Below are 25,889 nucleotides of genomic sequence, written 5' to 3'. Positions count from 1 at the left end.
CCCGCCACCACGCCCGGCTAATTTTTTGTATTTTTAGTAGAGACGGGGTTTCACCGTGTTGGCCAGGCTGGTCTCAAACTCCTGACCTCAGGTGATCCACCCGCCTCGGCCTCCCAAAGTGCTGGGATTACAGGCATGAGCCACCGCGCCCGGCCAGAAGTCATCTTTATTATGTAGAGGTTTCCCCCTTGTACGAGATGGTTGTGTGTGAGTATGGATGAGTTTACGAAAGCAACTGACAGACCTGTGAAATAATGATGCCAATACAGGAAGGTCCAAGGTAAATGAAAGCCCGGTGAAATTCCTGGAGGCGCAACTCAGGGTGGGGTCTTGGGATGTCAGGAAAGAGGAAGGGAAGGCTGTAGGTCTGGGTGTTTTGTGAGCTATTTGCACCTGAGGATATATGAGTGAGACCCTCCGCCTTGTGCGAGCCGGCTTGCATGCGTCTGGCATACAGAAGCGCTCAGTGAATGTTGAATAAGTGAACAAATGAGTGAATCAACTAATTTTGGGAAGCTTCTTGTATGCCAAACAACCTGCTAGCACTTTTCATACATTATCTTTAATCCTCAGAACAACCCTGCCAGACAGGTATTTTGACCCCCATTTAACAGGCCAGGAAAGCTGAGGCTGGGAGAGGGGAGGTCCCCTTCCCTATTCAAACCTGGATCTTTGTGATTCCAGAAGTCGTCATTCACCGAAGGGACCAGATTCATTCACCCGTCAAGAATTTATTAAGCACATATTGCGCAGCGCAATGAACATAGTACAACCGCTCTCGATGGCATGGAACAGGCGGAATACTCCCGGAAGACCAGCTGGGCGGCTGGACTGCGGACAGCGAAAGGGGGGGGTTTCTGGCCCGCACCTTCAGGGAATGTAGCTGCCTCTGCCTCATAGTTATGGCTTTGGCTGAGAGAGCACAGCCAGATCGAGGTTGGAGCGCGGTCTAGGGCTCAGATATTACAAATATTGGCCGAAAGAGGGCGCGGTTCCGCAGCTAAAAGCTTGGCCAGGAGACCCTCCGTGCGCCGACTGGCCATCGATGCGCAGGCGCAGAGGACCCAAGGAGCGGCTTAATATTACCTTGCAGAGGGATAATTTGAGAAGAGAGGGCGTGGCTCCGAAAGCGACGCAAACATAGAGGCGTGGTTCAACCAAATCAACCCTCGCCTATTTGTCGCTGCCCCTGAGGGCGTGGTCTGGGTGCTGCTTCTCGGAATGAGGGCGGGCCGAATCGCGTTTTTCCTCCGCGTCGGAGGCGTCGCTTAGGGTGGGCCCTCGAATCGCCGTTCAGCGATTGGCCGCCTCGCTAATGGGTCGTGGCCAGACGGGCCATCCATCCCCAGTGCGGTCACTTCCTGTGGAGTTTCCCCATCCCTGGGAGGAGGGAGGAGGGGGAAGAAGACGAGGGGGAGGAGGGCGGTCGTCCGGGGTTAGGTTGAGGGGGGGCGTCGGTCCGTTCTGGGCGGGGGATGACTCACAGCCCATCCCATCTCCCCGACGCCGCCCGCCCGCGCAGTGCTAGCTCCATGGCTTAGCGGAGGAGGCGGCGGTGGCGAGCTGGGGGGAGGGGGGACTCTTATTTTGTTAGGGGGACCGGGCCGAGGCCCGACCGGCCTGGCAGGGCTCGCCCGGGGCCGGGCGTCATGTCTCATGCGGCCGAACCAGCTCGGGATGGCGTAGAGGCCAGCGCGGAGGGCCCTCGAGCCGTGTTCGTGCTGTTGGAGGAGCGCAGGCCGGCCGACTCGGCTCAGCTGCTCAGGTGCGGGGCCGCCTGGGGCTGGGAGTGCCGACTGGGGCTCCCAGGGGCCTGATCTCGGGGGCAGTGGGGGCCCCGGACTGGGATTGGAGGCCCTCGGCCTAGCCTTGGAGGACGTCGGGGCGCCCGTCTTGGGGGGGCACCTAAGGAATCCGGCAGTGGCCTGCTTGGATTGTGGCTTTATTAAAGGAGTCGTGGGAGTGCATTAAGCGGGGTCTGGGTCAGGTTTGGGGAGCCCTTGACTGCGTCTAGAGGGGCCTATTCTGGAGTATCCAGAAACTGGTCTGAGATAGCTGAACTTGGTAGACAGGGTCTCTGATTAGAGGCTGAATTCGGGGATTTTCAGTCGGACATGAGGGGAATGAATTTGAGGGGACACTGTCAGGTGAGGCACTGGTTTTAAGGGAATCCTAGAATCTTTTTTCCCTCAGTGTGGGAGAAGGGGTCCTGAGGGACAGAAGTGCTGTCTTGGGAGCTTGGTGCCTCTCAGTGACTGGTTGCTGTGTTTGGGGATAACATGAATCTGGAGGGATTTGGAGGTATCTCAGATATGCTGCCTGGGACCAGCCTTGTGAGTGCGTGTGAATGAACAAGAGAAGCAACATTCAGCAAGACTTGACCAGAATAATCCTTTCCCCTCTGCCCGCCTACCCAGCTGGGGCAGATCCCAAGGATAGTGGAAAAGCCCTCTTCCCACACCTGTTAAGGGCCTGAATGGAAGATAGACAGCCAGGCAGAGGGCGATGATGTTACCTCTTAGCTCAGAGGCCTCAGACCTTGTTTGGGAACCCAGAGGAGGCTCTTGTTCATGCTGCTACTCGCTCTAGCCTCTCAGCCCTTCCCACTCCCTAGCCCCACACCCCTTTTCTTTTTATCTTCTTTTCGATCTCCGAGCTCCTGGGGGTAATCTTGAATCTGTCCATAGAGCTGGAACGAGTACAGATTGCACCATCCCTGCCTGGGTGGATCCCCTCTGGCCTCTTCTCATCCTTACTTTCATCAATGGGCTTTGGAGCCCCAGCCCTCCCTGCTCACCCCAGTGCCCATCTCTTCCAACTTCTGTGCAATGGGTGTGTGAGCCCTGGGTGGGGGGGGGTCTTTGCCTCCTTTGTGCCTGGGATTGTGCTGAGCTCAGTGGCTCGCCCGAGCTTCCTCTTCCCAACTTCCTGGGTGGTTTTAGGGCTCCATCTGAGGGTGAGGAGAGGAAGGAAGACAGATCCTTGGGGAGGGGAGAGGATTCTTGTCAAGTGAAGTCACCAGCAATCTCTCAGCATTCTAAATGTTTAGCTAAATTGAAGGATGCATATTCATCCACGTGTGTGTTAACTGTCCCTTGCTCTCTGGGGCTGAGCAGAGCCTTTCTGTATATCGATTCACCATCTTCTAATTCCTCTGTAACAACCTAGATCATCGCAGTAGTGGACATAGTTAAAGGGATGGGTGTATATGGCTTCTTATTTTGTGCGCCAGTGGGTGTTAGTGTTGGGGGTGTGTGTGTGTTTTGATCTATCCAAAAAAACAGGAGAAGGCTGGGCAGGCTCCTCCGGTAAGAAAAGAATGCTTGTATAAAGTGGATCAACCACCCAAATTCTCCCTCTTGTAAATCCAGTCTGTTGGAGCGAGGGGAGCCTTTGATATTTCTATTTTATATTTAGGCATGTGTTGGCATCCCATGAACTCTGGCTGGGGCTGGGAGAAACTCATTTGTGAAATGGTAGATCTTTACGTCAAGTGAATTATTTCCAGTTCTCTTTGTGATGCATTCAGTTTGTGTTACAAGGGACTGTTATGCTGAGGGATGCCCCTACTTGCTCTGTGTGTGTGTGTGTGTACACACATATACCTGGGCTCACATTCAGCTGTAAAGAAAATAGCAGGGGGTTGGCCGGGCGCAGTGGCTCACACCTGTAATCCCAGCACTTTGGGAGGCCGAGGCAAGCGGATCTTGAGGTCAGGAGATCGAGACCATCCTGGCTAATACGGTGAAACCCCGTCTCTACTAAAAATACAAAAATTAGCCGGACGTGGTGGCGTGTGCCTGTAATCCCAGCTACTCGGGAGGCTGAGGCGTGAGAATCACTTGAACCCAGGAGGCAGAGCTTGCAGTGAGCTGAGATCGCACCACTGTACTCCAGCCTGGTGACAGAGCGATACTCTGTCTCAAAAAAAAAAAAAAAGTAGGGGGTATGGGGGCTGGGAGAACTCTGAATAGGAAGTCAGGAATCCTTCTATAAAGTGAATTGTTATTCCTAAATTCTGTTTTCCTCAAACCCAGGTTGTTACAGTGTGGGGGTTGGGATGCAGGCGTTCTTATTATTCTGACTCCTAAGGGACTATGAGTAACACAGTGGGGAAGGGAAAGGGGGATGGGGGAAGGAGGTGGGAATTCATGGTGGTGTGGTACCCAGCAAGGTGGCCAAATATGAGGGGCTTGTACCCTCCTCTTCGTTCTCCCCCCCTCTCTCTCTCTTTCTCTGTCTCAGGGGAGGGCTGGGGAATAAGGTCCTTCATTCAATCACTGACCACCACTCCACCTCCCCCTCAGCCTGAACTCTTTGCTTCCGGAATCCGGGATTGTTGCTGACATAGAATTAGAAAACGTCCTTGATCCTGACAGCTTCTACGAGCTCAAAAGCCAACCCTTACCCCTTCGCTCAAGGTATGTATGACTTGTCTATCTGATTCCCCTCCCAATTCCTCAGCCCTCCTCTCCCCTCTTGATGGGCAGAGGCCCTCAGTACCAGCCCAACCCATTCTTTCACCAGCCTGCGTTTTCTAGGTGGTAAAATTAGGGACCAGAAAGAGCATGTCACACAGGAAAGTAGGTGGCCAAGCTAGGATTCCAGTATCTCTGTCAAGACCTCCCCTGCCTGCCCCCAGCCCACCTGCACACCCATTCATATGCAAGTGTTTCAGCCTCAGGTGTTCCAGCCGGCCTGGAGTGCTCAGAGATAGGGCGTGGCCTGCTTAAACTCATGTCCCCGGGTGGGCGGGGACATGCCTCTAGCCCCAACTCAGTCCCTTCCCACACTACCAACTCACCCACCCTCAGCCCTTGAGGAGCCCCTGCTGGTCTCTTCTTTCCCCAAGCTTGGAAGTCTAAATGTGCTGAGTCATCGGCCCGGGCTCTGAGAGAGGGGAGGGGAGGGGGAAGAGGGGCAGGAAGAGAGTATTGTGAAATCTCCGAGGTTTTCAAGACTGACTAGCTCCTGGGACCAGAGGCCCAGGCAGGGGAAGAAGAGGAACCTGGGGCTTCTCCTATCACCTGACGCCCACCCCCAGGAGCTCAGAGAGCTTCTCTAGCCTCACATTGGGCTTAGGAGCCCTCTGTATCCACATTCTGCTGCCAAAGCCTCAATTCTGCTTCTTCTGCTCTCCTGTAAATAGGACAAACCCCCCCTTGCAGAGCTGAACAATAGCATCTCCACTTAATATGTGAACAGGCTCAAATCTAGGCTTCACCATAAGGACCAAAGGCTAAAACTCCCCCACCAGACTGACCTCCAGTGTGTCCCCCATCAGACTGTGACCCCTGAGAGCCATCACCAAGCCTGGTTCCTGTGTCTCTGCTTCTACATTGTGGCCTCGGAAGGCAGAGAACAGGCCTGGTTCCTGTGTCTGCTCCGTCACGCTAAGACCCTTTAGGCTTGGGATGAGACTTTTAGCTTACCTAAAATATGGCCCCATATTTCCCATTCCACAGCCTCCCAATATCACTGCAGGCCACACCAGCCACCCCAGCTACACTCTCTGCATCGTCTTCTGCAGGGGGCTCCAGGACCCCTGCCATGTCGTCATCTTCTTCATCGAGGGTCTTGCTGCGGCAGCAGCTAATGCGGGCCCAGGCGCAGGAGCAGGAGAGGCGTGAGCGTCGGGAACAGGCCGCCGCGGCTCCCTTCCCCAGTCCTGCACCTGCCTCTCCTGCCATCTCTGTGGTTGGCGTCTCTGCTGGGGGCCACACATTGAGCCGTCCACCCCCTGCTCAGGTGCCCAGGGAGGTGCTCAAGGTAAGGTGAGATCCAGAGGCCCTGGGAGGGGGCTCCTGGTGACTGAGGAGTGATCCTAGGAGCTAGGGATGGCCTCGATGCACTGGTGATTTGGGGGCAAGGTCTTAGGGGCTCTAAGGAAGGTCCCTGGTACTGTTTAAATTATCTGTGTTCATGTCTCATGTGTTTTGGGTTTCTGAGATGATCTTGTGAAATTGCGAGGAGTTCGTGGGGGCCATGAGGATGTCTTGGTGGACCATGGAGGCTCATGAGTGCCCCAAGTGGGCCCTGGCTTTGTAGGAAGAGCTTCATGTGTGTGGGATACATTAGTTCTTTGGCCATTAGGGGGTCTTGGGAAGCATTGTATGGTTCCCAGGTCTATTAGGTGGTGTCAGAGACTAGGTGGGGAATCTTGGGGACTGTGACAGGGTTTTCCAGAAACTACGAGGGATCCTGTCAGTCATGGGTGGATCTTGGCAGCTGTGAAGGATTTCTGAGAAAGAGAGTTTGGGTCCTGGGGGAGACTCGCTAATATTTTTGGGGTGTTCTCAGATTCTGGGCCCAGCTTGTCTGCGTGAGTCTAGGCACCAATGAGTTAGGAGGGTCAGGCTGGGGCTCAGAATTCACCCCTTTGAGTCCTGTTCTGCCTTGTCCCCTCTCTTTCCTTGTCTACCTTATTTCACAGGTGCAGACCCATCTGGAGAACCCAACGCGCTACCACCTGCAGCAGGCGCGCCGGCAGCAGGTGAAACAGTACCTGTCCACCACACTCGGGCCCAAGCTGGCTTCCCAGGCCCTCACCCCACCGCCGGGGCCCGCAAGTGCCCAGCCACTGCCTGCCCCTGAGGCTGCCCACACTACCGGCCCCACAGGCAGTGCGCCCAACAGCCCCATGGCGCTGCTCACCATCGGGTCCAGCTCAGAGAAGGAGGTAAGAGGCTACAGCCAAACCTCCTCCCACATTCCCCTCCCAAATTCTTCTAAACCTGTATAATATTTACTTCTTCCCCTAGATTGATGATGTCATTGATGAGATCATCAGCCTGGAGTCCAGTTACAATGATGAAATGCTCAGCTATCTGCCCGGAGGCACCACAGGACTGCAGCTCCCCAGCACGGTGAGGCCCTGAGATGGGAGGTTGGTCTGAAAATTAGGGCATTTCTGTATCACCAAGACCATACTCAGTCTGGCTGTGTGTATAGGAGACCCTTGCCTTGATTGTGCTAAGATAGAGAGGGAGGCCTTATGACGAGAACAGGGTATGTCAACAATGCCTTTGGACCTTGTTGGACTGTGTTGAGAGGTGGACCATGTAGACTGTGAGAGATACAGGTGGGGAGTTCACTGAGACAGTAGGGCATATCAAAGTGCTTGGGCTTTGCTGTGAGAAGTACCAAGAGATGATAATCTTTTTTTTTTTTTTTTTTCGAGACGGAGTCTCGCTCTGTCACCCAGGCTAGAGTGCAGTGGCGCGGTCTCAGCTCACTGCAACCTCTGCCTCCCAGGTCCAAGCGATTCTCCTACCTCAGCCTCCTGAGTAGCTGGGATTATAGGCACGTGCCACCATACCAAGCTAATTTTTCTATTTTTAGTAGAGACGGGGTTTCATCACGTTGGTCAGGCGGGTCTTGAACTCCTGACTTCGTGATCTGCCTGCCTCGGCCTCCCAAAGTACTGGGATTACAGGCGTGAGCCACCACACCCGGCCGAGATGAGCATCTTATAGCAACTTGAATGTACCAAGGGATTCAGGTCATCGGGACATATACACCAGACCATGTAATGATTGGAGCATTTTGTTTTATTTTATTTTTACCTTTTTTTTCTTTTAAGACAGAGTCTCACTCTGTCACCCTGGCTGGAGTGCAGCGGTGCGATCTTGGCTCACTGCAGCCTCTGGGTTCAAGCGATTTTCGTGCCTCAGCCTCTCACGTAGCTGGGATTACAGGTGTACGCCACTACGCTTGGCTAATTTTTGTATTTTTAGTAGAGACCGGGTTTCACCCTGTGAGCCAGGCTGGTCTTGAACTCCTGACTTCAAGTGATCCACCTGCCTTGGCCTCCCAAAGTGCTGGAATTACAGGTGTGAGCCACCACGCCTGGCCTTGAAGCATAACAAAAGTTTTCAAACTTGCTGTGGGTTATAACAAGTAGTTGGATCTCGTAGTGATTGGAATATACCAAGTGAACTGTGCCAGGAGGCAGAGTCCTTCTAGTCAGTAGATAAAACTTTCTAGAGCAAGGGATATACCATTGTAACATTCTGGTTTTGAACACTCCAAGAGTCTCATAACTTGCTTTATTATATTTATTTATTTATTTTTTGAGACAAAGTCTTGCTCTGTCACCCAGGCTGGAGCGCAATGGTGCTATCTCGGCTCACTGGAACCTCCGCCTACCAAGTTCAAGCGATTCTCTTGCCTCAGCCTCCTGAGTAACTGGGACTACAGGCGCGTGCCCCCATGCCCGGCTAATTTTTGTATTTTTAGTAGAGACGGGGTTTCACCGTGTTACCCAGGTTATCTCAATCTCCTGACTTTGTGATCTGCCTGCCTCGGCCTCCCAAAGTGCTGGGATTACAGGCATGAGCCACCATGCCTGGCCTAACTTGCTTTATTTATTTATTTATTTATTTTTTATTGAATTTTTTTTTTTTTTTTGAGATGGAGTTTCACTCTCCTTGTCCAGGCTGGAATGCAATGTGCGATCTCTGCTCATTGCACCCTCTGCCTCCTGGGTTCAAGCAATTCTCCTGCCTCAGCCTCCCAAGTAGCCGAGATTACAGGTGCCCGCCAGCACGCCTGGCTAATTTTTGTATTTTAGTAGAGACGGGGTTTCACTATGTTGGTCAGGCTGGTCTCGAACTCCTGACCTCAGGTGATCCACCTGCCTCGGCCTCCCAAAGTTCTCGGATTACAGGTTTGAGCCACCGCGCCCGGCCTATTTATTTATTTTTGAGACAGGATCTTGCTCTGTCACCCAGGCTGGAGTGCAGTGGTGTAATCCTGGCTCACTGCAGCCTCCACCTTCCGGGCTCAAGTGATCCTCCCACCTCAGCCTCCCAAGTAACTGGGACCATAGGCTTGTGTCACCATGCCTGGCTAATTTTTTGCATTTTTAGTAGAGACAGGGTCTCACTGTGTTGCCCAGGCTGGTCTCGAACTCCTGAGCTCAAGCCATCTGCCCACCTCGGCCTCCCAAAGTGCTGGGATTACAGACATAGCCACCATGCCTGGTCTCATAACTTGCTTTAGAGCATACCAAGTGGCTGTAGTTTTGCTTTTTTCCAACTTATCAATAGGATGGAAGCATGTATAAAAATGGGACTAATTTATCAGAACTTTTTATTGATTTGGACACAACTAGAGAATGGGACCTTATATCCACCAGACTGGAAGTGGGTTCAAGAGATTAAAGCTCAGCCAGGCACGGTGGCTCACACCTGTAATCCCAGCACTTTGGGAGGCTGAGGCGGGCAGATCACAAGGTCAGGAGATCCAGACCATCCTGGCTAACACAGTGAAACCCCGTCTCTACTAAAAATACGAAAAAATTAGCTGGGCGTGGTGGCGGGTGCCTGTAGTCCCAGCTACTCGGGAGGCTGAGGCAGGAGAATGGCGTGAACCCGGGAGGCAGAGCTTGCAGTGAGCCGAGATTGCGCCACTGCCCTCCAGCCTGGGTGACAGAACGATACTCCGTCTCCAAAAAAAAAAAAAAAAAAAAAAAAAGAGATTAAAACTCATGAAGAAGTGGGATTTGGATATACTTTATTTTATTTGTATTTATTTATTTATTTATTTATTTTGAGATAGAGTCTTGCTCTGTTGCCCAGGCTGGAGTGCAGTGGTGTGATCTTGGCTCACTGCAACCTCTACCTCCTGGGTTCAAGCAACTCTCCTGTTTCAGCCTCTCAAGTAGCTGGGACTACAAGTGCAGGCCACCATGCTCGGCTAATTTTTTTTGTTGTTTTGTATTTTTAGTAGAGACAGAGTTTCACCATGTTGGCCAGGCTGGTCACGAACTCCTGACCTCAAGTGATCCGCCCGCCTTGGCCTCCCAAAGTGCTGGGATTACAGGCGTGAGCCACTGCACCTGGCCCTGGGTATACTTAAGATTGACGTGCTCCTCTGGAGTATATCCAGGAAAGTGTGAAGGAGAGGAAAAAAAAAAAACTAGGCTGACATAAAGCAGTGCTAATTGAATAGTTGGATAAGAATCTCCTGAGAGAACAGAATGTGCAGGAAGATACTGGAGTCAGGACCTTGGTCCACAGCAGCAGGAGACCCTGATGTGGAAGATGGTACAACTTGATCAGAGTGGAAGATGGTACAACTTGATCAGAGTGAAAGACTGGAGATTAGGTTGGAATTCTCCAGAAGGCCAGATTTTGGATAGAATGTTGTCATGACAATTTACCAAGGTCGGAGAAGATTGGGTTGGAGTGTTCCAAGAATGCTGGATTGGAATGTTGTGCTGGGAGGAGCTAACGGACTGGAATGTCCCATCAGAGCCGACAAAGACCTGAGAAGGGTGGTTTTCCAGCATTTCTTCTCAGAGCCAGCCCCGGGGTTTGGGAAAGGGGCTTTAGAGGTCACTGAGGGATATGAGGGACTGGAGGAAGTGATAAGCAGGCCAGGCAGGCTCCAGTCTCCCAGCGAAGCAAGGTAGGTCCAGTTTGCTCTGTCCTCCCTGTTTGGTCGCCATGTGAATTTGCCTTGAAGGAGAAGCAAGGGTTCTGGTGCTGAGTCAGCCAGTCCTTGCATTAGAGGGTGCCCCATCTTTGGGATATGTGGAAGCTCAGGAACCTGGTTCTGAGGAGGAGCCAAGCCTGGGGTTTGTTCCCAACTGGTGGTTCTCTGCCCTCTCTGCCCCCAGCTGCCTGTGTCAGGGAATCTGCTTGATGTGTACAGTAGTCAAGGCGTGGCCACACCAGCCATCACTGTCAGCAACTCCTGCCCAGCTGAGCTGCCCAACATCAAACGGGAGATCTCTGGTAGGTGATAGGGTCTTGGCCCCATGGCCCTACACTTTACCCCAGGTGAGCCCTGTGCCTACCAGGTCTAGAGATGGGCCTGATTCTGAGGGGAATGGTTTGGACATATGGAAATGGAGGCTGTTTGTCCCCTTTCCCCCTATGGCTTGTGGTCTTGCTTTCACCCCACTTCAGTTCCTCTCGTCTTGGATTTAACAACCAGCCTATCACCATGGCTTAAAATAGTAAAAAGAAGGCACTTTTTAAAAAAGGCATTTCCCCTGCTTTTGGCTACCAAACCCTACCTTAGTATCTGCATGTGTTTCTTGCCTTCCTGTGCTCAGAGGCCCTGATCACTCCACTCTTTTCCAGAGACCGAGGCAAAGGCCCTTTTGAAGGAACGGCAGAAGAAAGACAATCACAACCTAAGTAAGCCAGAGAGCGTGTGCATTGCCCGGGTGCTGTGCAGGCCTGCCTCACCCCGAGTCCTGGCCCCCCATGGGGAACTCCTTCCCTGCAACAGCCTCCCAACTCCCTACTTTCTGTCTCTTCCATTTTTGGCTAATTGACAACTCTTTCTCCCACTCTTTCTTCCTCTCCTCCCCTCTCCAAAGTTGAGCGTCGCAGGCGATTCAACATTAACGACAGGATCAAGGAACTGGGCACTCTCATCCCTAAGTCCAGTGACCCGTGAGTCTGGGCTGGGACCCTCAGGCCAGCGGGAGGTGGGGCAGGCGTCCCATGCTACTAAAATTGTGCCTTGGTGGGCTCACCAGGCAGTCTCGGCCCAGGCATTTCTCCTCTGTCTGGTTCTTTCTCAGCCTGAGCAGGGTTGCAGACCCTCACTATGTCAGCACCTAAAATTTTAGGCACATAATGTTATGGTCTGTGTGCCCCATCTGGTCCCCGTAGGATATATGCACCTACTTTTCTGTTCACTTAGTACTTCCTTTTTTTTTTTCTTTTTTTTGAGATGGAGTCTCACGCTGTCACCCAGGCTGGAGTGCAGTGGTGCAATGGTACTTCCTTTATTTATTCAAGATTTATTTATTGGCCGGGTGTGGTGGCTCATGCCTGTAATCCCAGCACTTTGGGAGGCCAAGGCGGGGTCGATCACCTAAGGTCAGGAGTTTCAGACTAGCCTGGCCAACATGATGAAACCCCGTCTCTACTAAAAAATACAAAAATTAGCCAGGTGCAGTGGCTCACACTTGTAATCCTGGCACTTTGGGAGGCCAAGGCAGGCGGATCACGAGGTCAGGAGGTGAAGGCCAACATGGTGAAACCCTGTCTCCACTAAAAATAAAAAAAATTTAGCTGGGCGTGGTGGCACGCACCTGTAATCCCCGCTACTCGGGATGCTGAGGCAGGAGAATCACTTGAACCCGGGAGGTGGAGGTTGCAGTGAGCCAATATGGTGCCACTGCACTCCAGCCTGGGTGACAGAGCAAGACTTTGTCTCAAAAACAAAAAAAAAAAAAGATGGCCGGGTGCAGTGGCTCACGCCTGTAATCCCAGCACTTTGGGAGGCCGAGGCGGGTGGATCACAAGGTCAGGAGATTGAGACCATTCTGGCCAACATGGTGAAACCCCATTTCTATTAAAAATATAAAAATTAGCGGGGCGTGGTGGTGGGCACCTGTAATCCCAGCACTTGGGGAGGCCGAGACGGGTGGATCACCTGAGGTCAGGAGTTTGAGACCAGCCTGGCCAACATGGTGAAACCCCATCTCTACAAAAAATACAAAAAAAATTAGCTGGGCGTGGTGGCGTAGGCCTGTCATCTCAGCTACTCAGAAGGCTGAGGCAGGAGAATCGCTTGAACCTGAGAAGTGGAGGTTGTAGTGAGCCAAGATTGTGCCACTGCTCTCCAGCCTGGGTGACAGAGCGAGACTCCATCCCCCACCGCCCCGCAAAAAAAAAGGAAAAGAGAAAGATTTATTTTTTGAACCTCTGGTTTGTGCCAGGTACCATATTAGGCCCTAAAGATACCAGAGGGAACAAAACAGACCTCATGAAACTGATGTTTTAGTGGGGGCAGACAAATAGTAAATAAGTAAACATCCATGAGATCCATTATGATGAGTGTTATGAGAAGAATAAAGACTGGAAGGAAAATGGGAGAATGTTGGGGAGGGTTAGTTTGGGATAAGGAAGGTGAGGACAGGGCAGGCCCCAACTGACAAGGAAACGTTTGAATAAAGAGCCTAAGGAGGCAAGGCGGGGAGCCGCATGGGTGTCTGGGGGTAAGAGTATTCAAGGCAGAGGGCACGGCTGGGATTGATGCCCTGAGATGGGAGTGGTTTTCCATATTCTAGGAGCACTGAGAGACCAATGTGGCTGTAGTGAGATCAATCGGAGGGACATAGGGAAGAGAGGAATCCTAAGGGGTCAGGTCAGAGACGGCTTCCAGGGTTTGGAGTGTGATGGGGCACCATTGTAAGATTCCAGGCGGGAAGTTTTCCTCTGGATACTCCATACCTTTGAAAGACCCCAGCCTCAAGTTCTAAGCATGTGGTGGGAGGCTCCCACCTGGTGCAATCCCCGCCTCAGCTCCTGAGAAACTCCTCATGTGGCATTTCCTGCTTGCCTCCCACTTGGGCCCCACAGGGAGATGCGCTGGAACAAGGGCACCATCCTGAAGGCCTCTGTGGATTATATCCGCAAGCTGCAGAAGGAGCAGCAGCGCTCCAAAGACCTGGAGAGCCGGCAGCGATCCCTGGAGCAGGCCAACCGCAGCCTGCAGCTCCGAATTCAGGTTTGAAAAGAGGAGATGGTGGTGGGGGAAGAGGGGGAGAGCTTCCTGCAGGTGGAGGCAGAGAGAGAGCAGGCCAGGGTTTCCCTTCCTGGCATACTTGGGGGATCCCTGGGCTTCCCAGATCACACGATGATGATAGTGATAATGATAAATAATAATCATAATATTAACAAGGATAATAATATTGCTAATGTACATAGCATTTATCTTGTGCTCTGTACTGTGACAAGAGCTTTATATCCACTAACTTATTCAATCCTCAGAATTCTATGAGATAGGGGCCATTATTTTATTTATTTATTTATTTATTTTTGAGATGGAGTTTCGCTCGTTGCCCAGGCTGGAGTGCAATGGCGCAATCTCGGCTCACCGCAACCTCCGCCTCCCGGGTTCAAGCAATTCTCCTGTCTCAGCCTCCTGAGTAGCTAGGATTATAGGCATGCACCACCACACCCAGCTAATTTTTGTATTTTTAGTAGAGATGGGGTTTCTCCATGTTGGTCAAGCTGGTCTCGAACTCCTGACCTCAGGTGATCCACCTGCCTCGGCCTCCCAAAGTGATTACAGGCGTGAGCCACCGCGCCCAGCCTAGGGGCCATTATTATATACCCACTTTACAGTTTGCGACTCTGAAGCTTCAGAGATGTTAAGCACCTTGCCTAAAGTTTTGGAACTAGTGAGTAGCAGAAGCTGAATTCCAACCCAGGGAACCTACCCTTTTCAACCTTTATACTCCTCTGCCTCTGAGGGACTCTGAACCCTACTTATCCTGCACCCAACCCCTATTTTTTACAGGAACTAGAACTGCAGGCCCAGATCCATGGCCTGCCAGTACCTCCCACTCCAGGGCTGCTTTCCTTGGCCACGACTTCGGCTTCTGACAGCCTCAAGCCAGAGCAGCTGGACATTGAGGAGGAGGGCAGGCCAGGCGCAGCAACGTTCCATGTAGGGGGGGGACCTGCCCAGAATGCTCCCCATCAGCAGCCCCCTGCACCGCCCTCAGATGCCCTTCTGGACCTGCACTTTCCCAGCGACCACCTGGGGGACCTGGGAGACCCCTTCCACCTGGGGCTGGAGGACATTCTGATGGAGGAGGAGGAGGGGGTGGTGGGAGGACTGTCGGGGGGTGCCCTGTCCCCACTGCGGGCTGCCTCCGATCCCCTGCTCTCTTCAGTGTCCCCTGCTGTCTCCAAGGCCAGCAGCCGCCGCAGCAGCTTCAGCATGGAAGAGGAGTCCTGATCAGGCCTCACCCCTCCCCTGGGACTTTCCCACCCAGGAAAGGAGGACCAGTCAGGATGAGGCCCCGCCTTTTCCCCCACCCTCCCATGAGACTGCCCTGCCCAGGTATCCTGGGGGAAGAGGAGATGTGATCAGGCCCCACCCCTGTAATCAGGCAAGGAGGAGGAGTCAGATGAGGCCCTGCACCTTCCCCAAAGGAACCGCCCAGTGCAGGTATTTCAGAAGGAGAAGGCTGGAGAAGGACATGAGATCAGGGCCTGCCCCCTGGGGATCACAGCCTCACCCCTGCCCCTGTGGGACTCATCCTTGCCCAGGTGAGGGAAGGAGACAGGATGAGGTCTCGACCCTGTCCCCTAGGGACTGTCCTAGCCAGGTCTCCTGGGAAAGGGAGATGTCAGGATGTTGCTCCATCCTTTGTCTTGGAACCACCAGTCTAGTCCGTCCTGGCACAGAAGAGGAGTCAAGTAATGGAGGTCCCAGCCCTGGGGGTTTAAGCTCTGCCCCTTCCCCATGAACCCTGCCCTGCTCTGCCCAGGCAAGGAACAGAAGTGAGGATGAGACCCAGCCCCTTCCCCTGGGAACTCTCCTGGCCTTCTAGGAATGGAGGAGCCAGGCCCCACCCCTTCCCTATAGGAACAGCCCAGCACAGGTATTTCAGGTGTGAAAGAATCAGTAGGACCAGGCCACCGCTAGTGCTTGTGGAGATCACAGCCCCACCCTTGTCCCTCAGCAACATCCCATCTAAGCATTCCACACTGCAGGGAGGAGTGGTACTTAAGCTCCCCTGCCTTAACCTGGGACCAACCTGACCTAACCTAGGAGGGCTCTGAGCCAACCTTGCTCTTGGGGAAGGGGACAGATTATGAAATTTCATGGATGAATTTTCCAGACCTATATCTGGAGTGAGAGGCCCCCACCCTTGGGCAGAGTCCTGCCTTCTTCCTTGAGGGGCAGTTTGGGAAGGTGATGGGTATTAGTGGGGGACTGAGTTCAGGTTACCAGAACCAGTACCTCAGTATTCTTTTTCAACATGTAGGGCAAGAGGATGAAGGAAGGGGCTATCCTGGGACCTCCCCAGCCCAGGAAAAACTGGAAGCCTTCCCCCAGCAAGGCAGAAGCTTGGAGGAGGGTTGTAAAAGCATATTGTACCCCCTCATTTGTTTATCTGATTTTTTTATTGCTCCGCATACTGAGAATCTAGGCCACCCCAACCTCTGTTCCCCACCCAGTTCTTCATTTGGAGGAATCACCCCATTTCAGAGTTATCAAGAGACACTCCCCCCTCCATTCCCACCCCTCATACCTACACCCAAGGTTGTCAGCTTTGGATTGCTGGGGCCAGGCCCCATGGAGGGTATACTGAGGGGTCTATAGGTTTGTGATTAAAATAATAAAAGCTAGGCGTGTTTGATGCGCTTTTAACTTTGGCAAAGAGTCTCCTGTCCTTGTTTTACACTGTGCAGTGAACATAGCCCATGCAGGCCAAGAGGGATAAAAGTCCTTGGGAGAAACAGATTCCAGAAGGATGGATAAAAGAATTTAGAAAGGAAGAGGGCATGGAGGAAGACAATATGCAAACAAAAGACAGTATTTTTAAAGACCAATCACCAGGCACAATTTTAACTGCTGCAAGTGTTTCATCTAATTTATTTCTCTAAAGGGATGTTAGTCAGAACATGCTGCTTCTTACTTCCATTTGGTCTTTGAAGAAGCTGAGGAATAGAATTGAACTGTTCTGAAGATATGCAAGCCTGTAAATGGGTGAGGCGGTAAAACAGTAAAGTCAGGTGAGTGAGGGCTCGATTGAAAAATGCCACTGAGGGCAGAGGGGGAAAGAAGCTTTTCTTGCAAATCCACTTTTGAAACTGATAAAGAAGTCTATGAGGATATTTCCTGGCAGACAACAGAGGTATTTAAGATGGTGGAAAGGACAAAGACAAATATCTGAAAGGCAGAGGAACAAGCAACCAACTGAATTTTGGAACAGATGTTGAGATTTTGGGAGAATTTAAATGAACACAAGTATCTTCTTGAAGGCTGGGAAAAAGTATTTTCCCGCAATTTCTCAACCAGACACTGACTCCTAGAACAAGCATCAGGCCTGGTCCCTCCATTTCCCCCACCAGACTGTGACCTCTGAGGGCTGGAACTGGGCTTGGTCACCGTGACTACCCTAGACTGTGACCACCATACTTGTTATCTCTTTTTTTTTTTTTTGAGACAATCTCGCCCTGTCACCCAGGCTGGAGTGCAGTGGCATGATCTCGGCTCACTGCAACCTCTGCCTCCCAGGTTCAGGTAATTATCTTGTCTCAACCTCTCTAGTTGCGATTACAGGCATCTGCCACCACACCCAGCTAATTTTTTGTGTTTTTAGTAGAGACGGGGTTTCACCATGATGGCCAGGCTGGTTTCGAACTCCTGACCTCAAGTGATCTGCCTGCCTCGGCCTCCCAAAGTGCTGGGATTAGAGGTGTAAGCCACCACACCCGACCCTTGCTAGCTCTTTCTAACCTATCACACTGCTACCCCTCCAAGCCTGGTTGCTGAATCTCTGTAACCAGACTGATGGCTCCCTAATAACCTTTATTTTTTCTCCTCAACTTTGCTGTACTCTCTCTCTTTTTTTTTTTTTTTTTTTTTTGAAACGGAGTCTCACTCTATTGCCCAGACTGGAGTGCAGTGGCATGATCTCTGCTAACTGCAACCTCTGCCTCCCAGGTTCAAGCGATTCACGTGCCTCAGCCTCCCAAGTACCTGGGATTACAGACGCGCAACCACGCCCAGCTAATTTTTGTATTTTTAGTAGAGACAGGGTCTCACCATGTTGCCCAGGCTAGTCTCAAACTCCTGGCCTCAAGTGATATACCTGCCGTGGCCTCCCAAAGTGGGATTACAGGCATAAACCACCATACCTGGCCCTATACTCTCTTATTTTATTTTATTTTATTTTATTTTATTTATTTATTTATTTATTTTGAAACAGGGTTTCCCTCTGTCACCCAGGCTGGGGTGCAATGGCGCGATCTCAGCTCACTGCAACCTCCGCCTCCCGGGTTCAAGCGATTCTCCTGCCTCAGCCTCCTGAGTACCTGGGATTACAGGCATGTGCCACCACACCTGGCAAATTTTAGGTACTTTTCTTTTTTTTTATATGGAGTCTCGCTCTTTTGCCCAAGCTGGAGTGCAGTGGCACGGTCTCGGCTCACTGCAACCTCCACCTCCCAGGCTCAAGCAATTCTCCTGCCTCAGCCTCCCGAGTAGCTGGGATTACAGGCACCTGTCACCGCGCCTGGCTAATTTTTGTATTTTTATTAGAGACAGGATTTCACCATGTTGGTCAGGCTGGTCTCAAACTCCTGACCTCGTGATCGCCCACTTCGGCCTCCCAGAGTGCTGGAATTACAGGGGTGAGCTACTGTGCCCGGCCTTTTTTTTTTTTTTTTAAAGACAGAGTCTCGCTCTGTCGTCCAGGCTGGAGTGCAATGGTGCGATCTCGGCTCACTGCAACCTCTGCCTCCCAGGTTCAAGTGATTCTCCTGCCTCAGCCTTGCGAGTAGCTGGGATTACAGACATGTGCCACTACTGCTCAGCTAATTTTTGTATTTTTAGTAGAGATGGGGTTTCACCATGTTGGCCAGGCTGGTCTTGAACTCCTGACTTCAAATGATCCGCCTGCCTTGGCCTCCCAAATTGCTGGGATTACAGACATGAGCCACGGCCCCTGGCCCAATCTTTTGTACTTTTAGCAGAGACCAAGGTTTCACCATGTTGGTCAGGCTGGTCTCGCATTCGTGACCTCAGATGATTCGCCCGCCTCGGCCTCCCAAATTGTTGGGATTACAGGCATGAGCCACCGTGCCTGGCCTCTTCTTTATTTTTTAAACGTAACATGTAATGCCCAGAGGTTTTTTTTTGGGGGGGGAAGGGGGTACAGGGTCTCACTGTCACCCAGACTGGAGTGCAGTGGCATGATCTTGGCTCACCACAACTTCCAACTCCCAGGTTCAAGCGATTCTCCTGCCTCAGCCTCCCGAGTAGCTGGGATTACAGACACATGCCACTACTGCCCGGCTAATTTTTGTATTTTTAGTAGAGATGGGTTTTCACCATGTTGGCCAGGCTGGTTTTGAACTCCTGATCTCAAATGATCCAACTGCCTCGGCCTCCCAAAGTGCTGGGATTACAGGTGTGAGCCACTGCACCTGGCCTCCCAGAGGTGTGTTTTTTTGTTTTTGTTTTTGTTTTTGTTTGAGGCGAAGTCTCACTCTGTCGCCCAGGCTGGAGTGCAATGGTGGGATCTTGGCTCATTGCAACCTCCGGCTCCTGGGTTCAAGCCATTCTCCTGCCCTAGCCTCCCAAGTAGCTGGGACTACAGGCGCACACCACCACGCCCGGCTAATTTTTTTGTATTTTTAGTAGAGATGGGGTTTCACCACGTTAGCCAGGATGGTCTTGATCTCCTGACCTCGTGATCCACCCGCCTCAGCCTCCCAAAGTGCTGGGATTACAGGCGTGAGCCACCGTACCTGGCCTCCCAGAGGTTTTTTAACAGTTTTTCTGAAATAATTTTAGATTTACAGAAGAGTTGCATCACCATTAGTGAGCTTTCATACCTGTCACCCACCTCCCCCTAATGTTAACATTCTACGTAACCATGGCACATTTATCAGTGCTAAGAAAATAACATTGGGCCGGGCGTGGCGGCTCACGCCTGTAATCCCAGCACTTTGGCAGGCTGAGGCAGGCGGATCACAAGGTCAGGAGATCGAAACCGTCCTGGCTAACACGGTGAAACCCCGTCTCTACTAAAAATATAAAAAATTAGCTGGGTGTGGTGGCGAGCACCTGTAGTCCCAGCTACTCGGGAGGCTAAGGCAGGAGAATGGCATGAACCCAGGAGGCTGGCAGTGAGCCGAGATTGCGCCACTGCACTCCAGCCTGGGCGATAGAGCGAGACTCCATCTCAAAAAAAATAAAAAATAAAAAAAAAAATAAGATTGGTAGAGTACTATTAACTCAACTTCAGACTTTATTTGGATTTCACTGGCTTTTCCACTAACGTCTTTTCTGTGCTAGGATCCAAGTAAGTATGCCGTACTACTTATTCCTGTGAAACAAATGACCACAATCTTAGTGGCTCCAAACAATACACATAAATTATCTCTCAGGTTTTGCAAGTCAGGAATCCAGGCTGGGTTCAGCTGGGTCCTCAGCTTCAGCCTCTCTCACTAAGGCACAATCGAGGAAGGAGTTGGGCAGGATTGAGGACTTCTCTGAACGTGCGACCGGGGAAGGATCTGCTCTGTGCTCCCATATTTGTTGGCAGGATCCGGTTCTCTGCAGCCTGTTGGACAGAGGGCCCCAGTTCCTTGCTGGCTGTTAGCCAGAGGTGCCCACCATCCACACCATGTGTGCCTTTCCATGCAGTGGCTCACAGCATGGTAGTTTGCTTCATCCAAGCCAGCGAGAGAAAGAGTTGGCTAGCAAAACAGAGGTCACATCTCTTGTGATCTAATTATGGAAGTGATATCCCCTCAAGGTTGAGGCATTCTGTTACTTGCAAAGAAGTTACTAAAGGGGAGGGGATTACACAAGACCAAGAATATAGCAGGCAGGGAGCACTGGTTGAGGGCATCTCAGAAGGCACCTACCATAGATACTATGTTGTACTAAGTGGTCCTATCTTCTTGGTTTTTGCAGACGGTTTCTCAGTCTGTCTACTGAGAAGTCCTACAAATCATGCTATCCCAGAAACAATGAGCACATCTAGTGGCCAGATCTTGGTTTCTTTTTTGTTGTTGTTGTTGAGACAGAGTTTCACCCTTGTCACCCAGGCTGGAGTGCAATGGCGCAATCTTGGCTCACTGCAACCTCCGCCTCCTGGGTTCAAGCGATTCTCCTGCCTCAGCCTCCTGAGTAGCTGGGACTACAGGCGCTGCCCACCACGCCTGACTACTTTTTGTATTTTTAGTAGAGACAGGGTTTCGCCGTGTTGGCCAGGCTGGTCTTGAACTCCTGACCTCAGGTGATCTGCCCATCTTGGCCTCGCAAAGTGCTGGGATTACAGGTCTGAGCCACCGCGCCTGGCCTGGACCTTGGTTTCTAAATGCCATTCTCCAATAAAAGAAACCAGTGCTCCTGGAAAAATGGCTGATTTTCAGTCTGGGGTGGAGAGAAATACAAGATGAGCCTGGAGCATCCTGTAGTGACAGAAAGTAAGGAAATGCCTAAAACCAATGATGGAGGCTAGGCATGGTGGCTCACACCTGTAATCCCAGCACTTTGGGAGGCCAAGACGCATGGATCACCTGGGGTCAGGAGTTTCAGACCAGCCTGGCCAACATGGTGAAACCCCGTCTCTACTAAAAATACAAAAAATTAGCCGGGTGTGGTGGGGGGCACCTGTAATCCCAGCTACTCAGGAGGCTGAGGCAGGAGAATTGCTTGAACCTGGGAGGCAGAGGTTGCAGTGAGCCGAGATCATGCCATTGCACTCCAGCCTGGGCAACAAGAGCAAAACTCCATCTCAAAAAAAAAAAAAAAAAAACAAACAAACAAAAAAGCAATGATTGCAGCATGTCATAAGATACAGAAGCCAACCTGAAAGAACTCCTGGTCAGGTGCGGTGGCTCACGTCTGTAATCCCAGCACTTTGGGAGGCCAAGGTGGGCGGATCATGAGGTCAAGAGATCAAGACCATCCTGGCCAACATGGTGAAACCCCGCCTCTACTAAATATACACAAATTAGCTGGGTGTGGTGGCACGCGCCTGTAGTTCTAGCTACTCGGGAGGCTGAGGCAGGAGAATTGCTTCAACGTGGGAGGCGGAGGTTGCAGTGAGCCGAGATCTCGCCACTGCACTCCAGCCTGGCAACAGAGTGAGACTCCGTCTCGAAAAAAAAAAGAAAAACAACTCCCAATGGCCAAAGCTGGAACAATTTGAGCAAGAATAACAGAAAGGGTAATATTAGATTATAGTTCAAAAAATGAACATCCATGATTCCATACTTATTTATATAAGTGATATGATTGAATAAATAAATGCTGAGAGCCAGACGAGGTGGTGTGTGCCTGTAGTCCCAGATACTTGGGAGGCTGAGGCAGGAGAATGGCTTGAGCTCAAGAGTTTGAGGCTGTAATGCACCATGATCACTCCTGTGAATAGCCCCTGAACTCTAGCCTGGATGACACTGGGAGATGCTGTCTCTAATAAATACATGAATGGTGGAGAAGGGTCAACTCTTTCTTACACAAGAATTCCAAATAATAAATATAGAAGGAATGAGGGAAGTAGAAAATTCCCATTAGAATACCACAGTAATAATTGCTGCAGACAAGATCCATTAAATGCTAAAACTAGTGGGCAAAACTTTAAGGTGAAACACAGTTGCACATCCTTAAAGTATCACCTTCAGGCTGGGCACAGCAGCTCACGCCTGTAATCCCAACAAAAGGCTGAGGTGGGAGGATCGCTTAAGCTGAGGAGTTCCAGACCAGCCTAAGCAACATGGTGAAACCCCATGTCAAAAAATATATATTTTTTTAATTTTTATTTTTATTTTGAGACAGAGCCTCGCTCTGTTGCCCAGGCTGGAGTGCAGTGGCGCAATCTCAGCTCACTGCAACCTCCACCTCCTGGGTTCAAGCAGTTCTGCCTCAGCCTCTCGAGTAGCTGGGATTACAGGCACGTGCCACCACACCCGGCATGGGGTTTCACCATATTGGCCAGGCTGGTCTTGAACTCCTGACCTCAAGTGATCCACCCGCCTCAGCCTCCCAATGTGTTGGGATTACAGGCGTGAGCCACCGTGCTCAGCCAAAAAATATATTATTTTTAAAAAGTATAGGCCAGGCGCGGTGTCTCATGGCTATAATCCCAGCACTTTGGGAGGCTGAGGCAGGCGGATCACAAGGTCAGGAGATCAAGAACATCCTGGCTAACAAGGTGAAACCCCGTCTCTACTAAAAAAAATTTTTAAAAAATTAGCCGGGAGTGGTGGCAGGCGCCTGTAGTCCCAGCTACTCGGGAGGCTGAGGCAGGAGAATGGTGTGAACTCGGGAGGCGGAGCTTGCAGTGAGCAGAGATAGCGCCACTGCACTCCAGCCTGGGTGACAGAGCGAGACTCCGTCTCAAAAAAAAAAAATTATCACCTCCAAAATATGTATTAGATATCTTATTCTCATCCCCTCAAAAGGTGGAACCTAATTCCCCTCCTCCTCTTGAATGTGAGTTGGACTTAGAGACTTGCTTCTAATGAAGAGTATAGGCCAAGCGCAGTGGCTCACGCTTATAATCCCAGCACTTTAGGAGTCCGAGGAGGGCAGATCACTTGAGGTCAGGAGTTCAGGACCAGGCTGGCCAACACGGCGAAACCCCGTCTCTACTAAAAACACAAAAGTTAGCTAAGCGTGGTGGCACATGCCTGTAGTCCCAGCTACTTGGGAGGCTGAGACAGGAGAACTGCTTGAACCTGGGAGGCAGAGGTTGCAGTGAGCCAAGATCGCACCACTGCACTCCAGCCTTGGTGACAGAGCGAGACTCTGTCTCAAAAACAAAAAACAAAAAACAAAAAACGGCCGGGTGCAGTGGCTCACACCTGTAATCCCAGCACTTTGGGAGGCCGAGGCAGGCAGATCACAAGGTCAAGAGATCGAGACCATCCTGGCCAACATGGTAAAACCATGTCTCTAAGAAAAATACAAAAATTAGCTGGTGTGGTGGCATGCGCCTGTAGTCCCAGCTACTCGGGAGGCTGAAGCAGGAGAATCGAGCCAGGATGGTCTCAATCTCCTGACCTCATGATCCACCGGCTTGGGCCCCCCAAAGTGCTGGAATTATAGGCGTGAGCCATTGTGCCAGGCCGCCCAGCTAATTTTTGTATTTTTAGTAAAGATGGGGTTTCACCATGTTGGCCAGGCTGGTCTTGAACTCCTTACCTCAGGTGATCCACCCGCCTCGGCCTCCCAAAGTTCTAGGATTACAGGTGTGAGCCACCGTGCCTGGCACTGAATTCCTTCCTTCCTTCCTTCCTTCCTTCCTTCCTTCCTTCCTTCCTTCCTTCCTTCCTTCCTTCCCTTCTTTTTTTTTCTTTTTTCTTTCTTTTTTTTTTTTTGAGACAGTCTCGCTCTGTTGGCCAGGCTGGAGTGCAGTGGTACAATCTCGGCTCACTGCAACCTCCGTCTCCCAGGCTCAAGCAATTCTCCTGCCTCAGCCTCCCGAGTAGCTGGGATTACAGGCGTGTGCAACCACGCCCAGCTAATTTTTGTATTTTTAGTAGAGACGAGGTTTCACCATGTTCTCCATGGTGGTCTTGAACTCCTGACCTCAGGTAATCTGCCCGCCTCGGCCTCCCAAAGTGCTGGGATTACGGGCATGAACCACCGCGCCCGGCCGGGAGCTCTTTGAGACAAACAAACAAAAAAACAAAAAAAACTGATAAATAGTTCACTGTTATTACATTCTTTTTATTTAAAAAACTATTTTGTTCTACTTATCTTTCACCAAATTTGTCTGGAAACCTGGTGCATGATTTTCTGCATTTGTAATTATTGGTTTTCATTTTTTTTTTTTTTGAGACAGAGTCTCACTCTGTCACCCAGGCTGGAGTGCAATGGCTCGTTCTCGGCTCACTGCAACCTCCACCTCCTGGGTTCAAGCAATTCTCCCACCTCGGCCTCCTGAGTAGCTGGGATTACAGGCACCCACCATCATGCCCGGCTAATTTTTTGTATTTTTGTAGAGATGGGGTTTCACCATGTTGGGCAGGCTGGTCTCGAACTCCTGACCTCAGGAGATCCACCTGCCTTGGCCTCCCAAAGTGCTGGGATTACAGGTGTGAGCCACCGCGCCCAGCCCAATTTTCAACCAAGATGGAATAATGGGGACAGAATTTGCCCTCCTGCCTGAAACAAACAAAAATCCAGATGAATAAAATGGAAAAACAAATCTCACGATAGTGGACATCAGATTAGCTGAGTGTGGTGGCTAATCTGGAAGCCTCAGCTATTTGGAAGGCTGAGGCGGTAGGATTGCTTGAGCCCAGGAGGTCAAGGCTGCAGTGACCCGTGATTGCGCCACTGCACTCCATCCTGGGTGAGAGTGAGACCCTGTCTCAAAAACAGAACAACAACAAAAAGATACTGGACATTAGACAATGAAGGAAAGTGATCCCTGAGAGATGGGAAACAAACAAGGTAAGCATGATGGTTGCCCAGCTTACTGCCTGGAGATGGAGAAGGCCAATTCAGGATGAACCTTGAAAATACGCTAAGTGAAATTTGCCAGACACAGGACAAATATTGATTCCACTTATATGTGGTATTTAGAATAGGCAAGTTACTAGAGGAAGAAAGTAGAATAGAGGTTACCAGGGCCTTGGGGATGGGGAAAATGGAGAGTTATTGCTTAATGGGTACAGAGTTTCTGTTTGGGATGATGAAAAAGTTCTGGAAATAGACAGTGGCGTTGGTTACACAACACTGTGAATGTACTTAATGCTCCTGAATTGTACACTTACAGATGGTTAAAACGATAAATTTTATGTCATGCACATTTTACCTCAATTTTAAAAAAGGATAAAGGAGAATATTACAAACAAATTTATGCCCATACTTCTCACAACAAATTCCTTGCAAGACACAAAATACCAATGCCCACTCAGGAAGAAATAGATAACTTGACTAGCCCTATATATATTAAATAAATTGAATTTGTAGTAAAACACATTCCCCTGAAGGAAATTCCAGGCCCAGATGGCTTCCTTGGGGAACTGTACCATATATATATAGAAGAAATAATATGAATTCTGCACAAACTCTTCCAGAAAATTTAAGAGGAGGGGATACTTTCCAACTCATTCTATGAAACTAGCATTACTCTGATACAAAACCACAGAAAGTCATTACAAGAAAAGAAAGCTATATGTAACTATCCTTCATGAACACAGATGCAAAAGTTCTTAACATTTTAGTAAATCTTGTTTTTTTGCTTTTTTTTTTCTTCTTCTTTTGGAGACAGAGGCTCACTCTGCTGCCCAGGCTGAAGTGCAGTGGCGCAAACTTGGCTCACTGCAACCTCTGCCTCCTGGGTTCAAGCGATTCTCCTGCCTCAGCCTCCCTAGTAGCTGGGATTGCAGGCATATGCCACCACGCCCAGCTAATTTTTGTAT

General features: G+C 50.7%; 1 protein-coding gene across 4 annotated transcripts, besides 3 other annotated features; it reads left to right on the top strand.

The window, feature by feature from the left end:
* Positions 1,330-2,193: an enhancer, noted in NCBI's record as "H3K27ac hESC enhancer chrX:48900209-48901072 (GRCh37/hg19 assembly coordinates)". NCBI's record gives its function as "activates a minimal SCP1, AML or CMV promoter by ChIP-STARR-seq in naive H9 embryonic stem cells {active_cell/tissue: H9 hESC(naive)}" and the evidence as "EXISTENCE:reporter gene assay evidence [ECO:0000049][PMID:30033119]".
* TFE3 (transcription factor binding to IGHM enhancer 3) lies at positions 1,519-16,150 on the top strand. Of its 4 annotated transcripts, XM_024452432.2 has the most exons (11): positions 1,519-1,765; positions 4,308-4,421; positions 5,466-5,769; positions 6,434-6,679; positions 6,762-6,866; positions 10,625-10,742; positions 11,094-11,150; positions 11,336-11,411; positions 11,695-11,740; positions 13,332-13,479; positions 14,275-16,150. In XM_024452432.2, exons 1-11 carry the CDS (start codon positions 1,650-1,652, stop codon positions 14,358-14,360), a joined length of 1,416 nt encoding a protein of 471 aa, XP_024308200.1. In that variant the 5' UTR covers positions 1,519-1,649; the 3' UTR covers positions 14,361-16,150. The 4 variants fall into 4 exon arrangements, 3 of the variants coding, with proteins under 3 accessions (XP_024308200.1, NP_001269071.1, NP_006512.2); NM_001282142.2 differs by lacking the exon at positions 11,695-11,740 and having other exon boundaries at positions 5,531-5,769; NM_006521.6 differs by lacking the exon at positions 11,695-11,740.
* Positions 1,549-1,788: a silencer, noted in NCBI's record as "silent region_20831". NCBI's record gives its function as "represses an Ori minimal core promoter by ATAC-STARR-seq in GM12878 lymphoblastoid cells {active_cell/tissue: GM12878}" and the evidence as "EXISTENCE:reporter gene assay evidence [ECO:0000049][PMID:35858748]".
* Positions 4,738-5,032: an enhancer, noted in NCBI's record as "tiled region #2669; HepG2 Activating DNase matched - State 5:Enh, and K562 Activating DNase unmatched - State 1:Tss". NCBI's record gives its function as "activates a minimal TATA promoter and a strong SV40 promoter by Sharpr-MPRA in HepG2 and K562 cells {active_cell/tissue: HepG2 | K562}" and the evidence as "EXISTENCE:reporter gene assay evidence [ECO:0000049][PMID:27701403]".

The sequence above is a fragment of the Homo sapiens genome, chromosome X, assembly GCF_000001405.40.
Source record: "Homo sapiens chromosome X, GRCh38.p14 Primary Assembly".
Taxonomy (NCBI): Eukaryota; Metazoa; Chordata; class Mammalia; order Primates; family Hominidae; genus Homo; species Homo sapiens.
This window is presented reverse-complemented; position numbering and strand designations above follow the sequence as displayed.

Excerpts from the sequence above, each read along its gene's own strand:
- TFE3 (NM_006521.6), top strand. The coding sequence starts at position 1,650 with ATGTCTCATGCGGCCGAACCAGCTCGGGATGGCGTAGAGGCCAGCGCG. Across the intron at positions 4,422-5,465 it reads CCCTTACCCCTTCGCTCAAG|CCTCCCAATATCACTGCAGG; the intron begins GTATGTATGACT and ends CCCATTCCACAG. Across the intron at positions 11,412-13,331 it reads ATCCCTAAGTCCAGTGACCC|GGAGATGCGCTGGAACAAGG; the intron begins GTGAGTCTGGGC and ends TGGGCCCCACAG.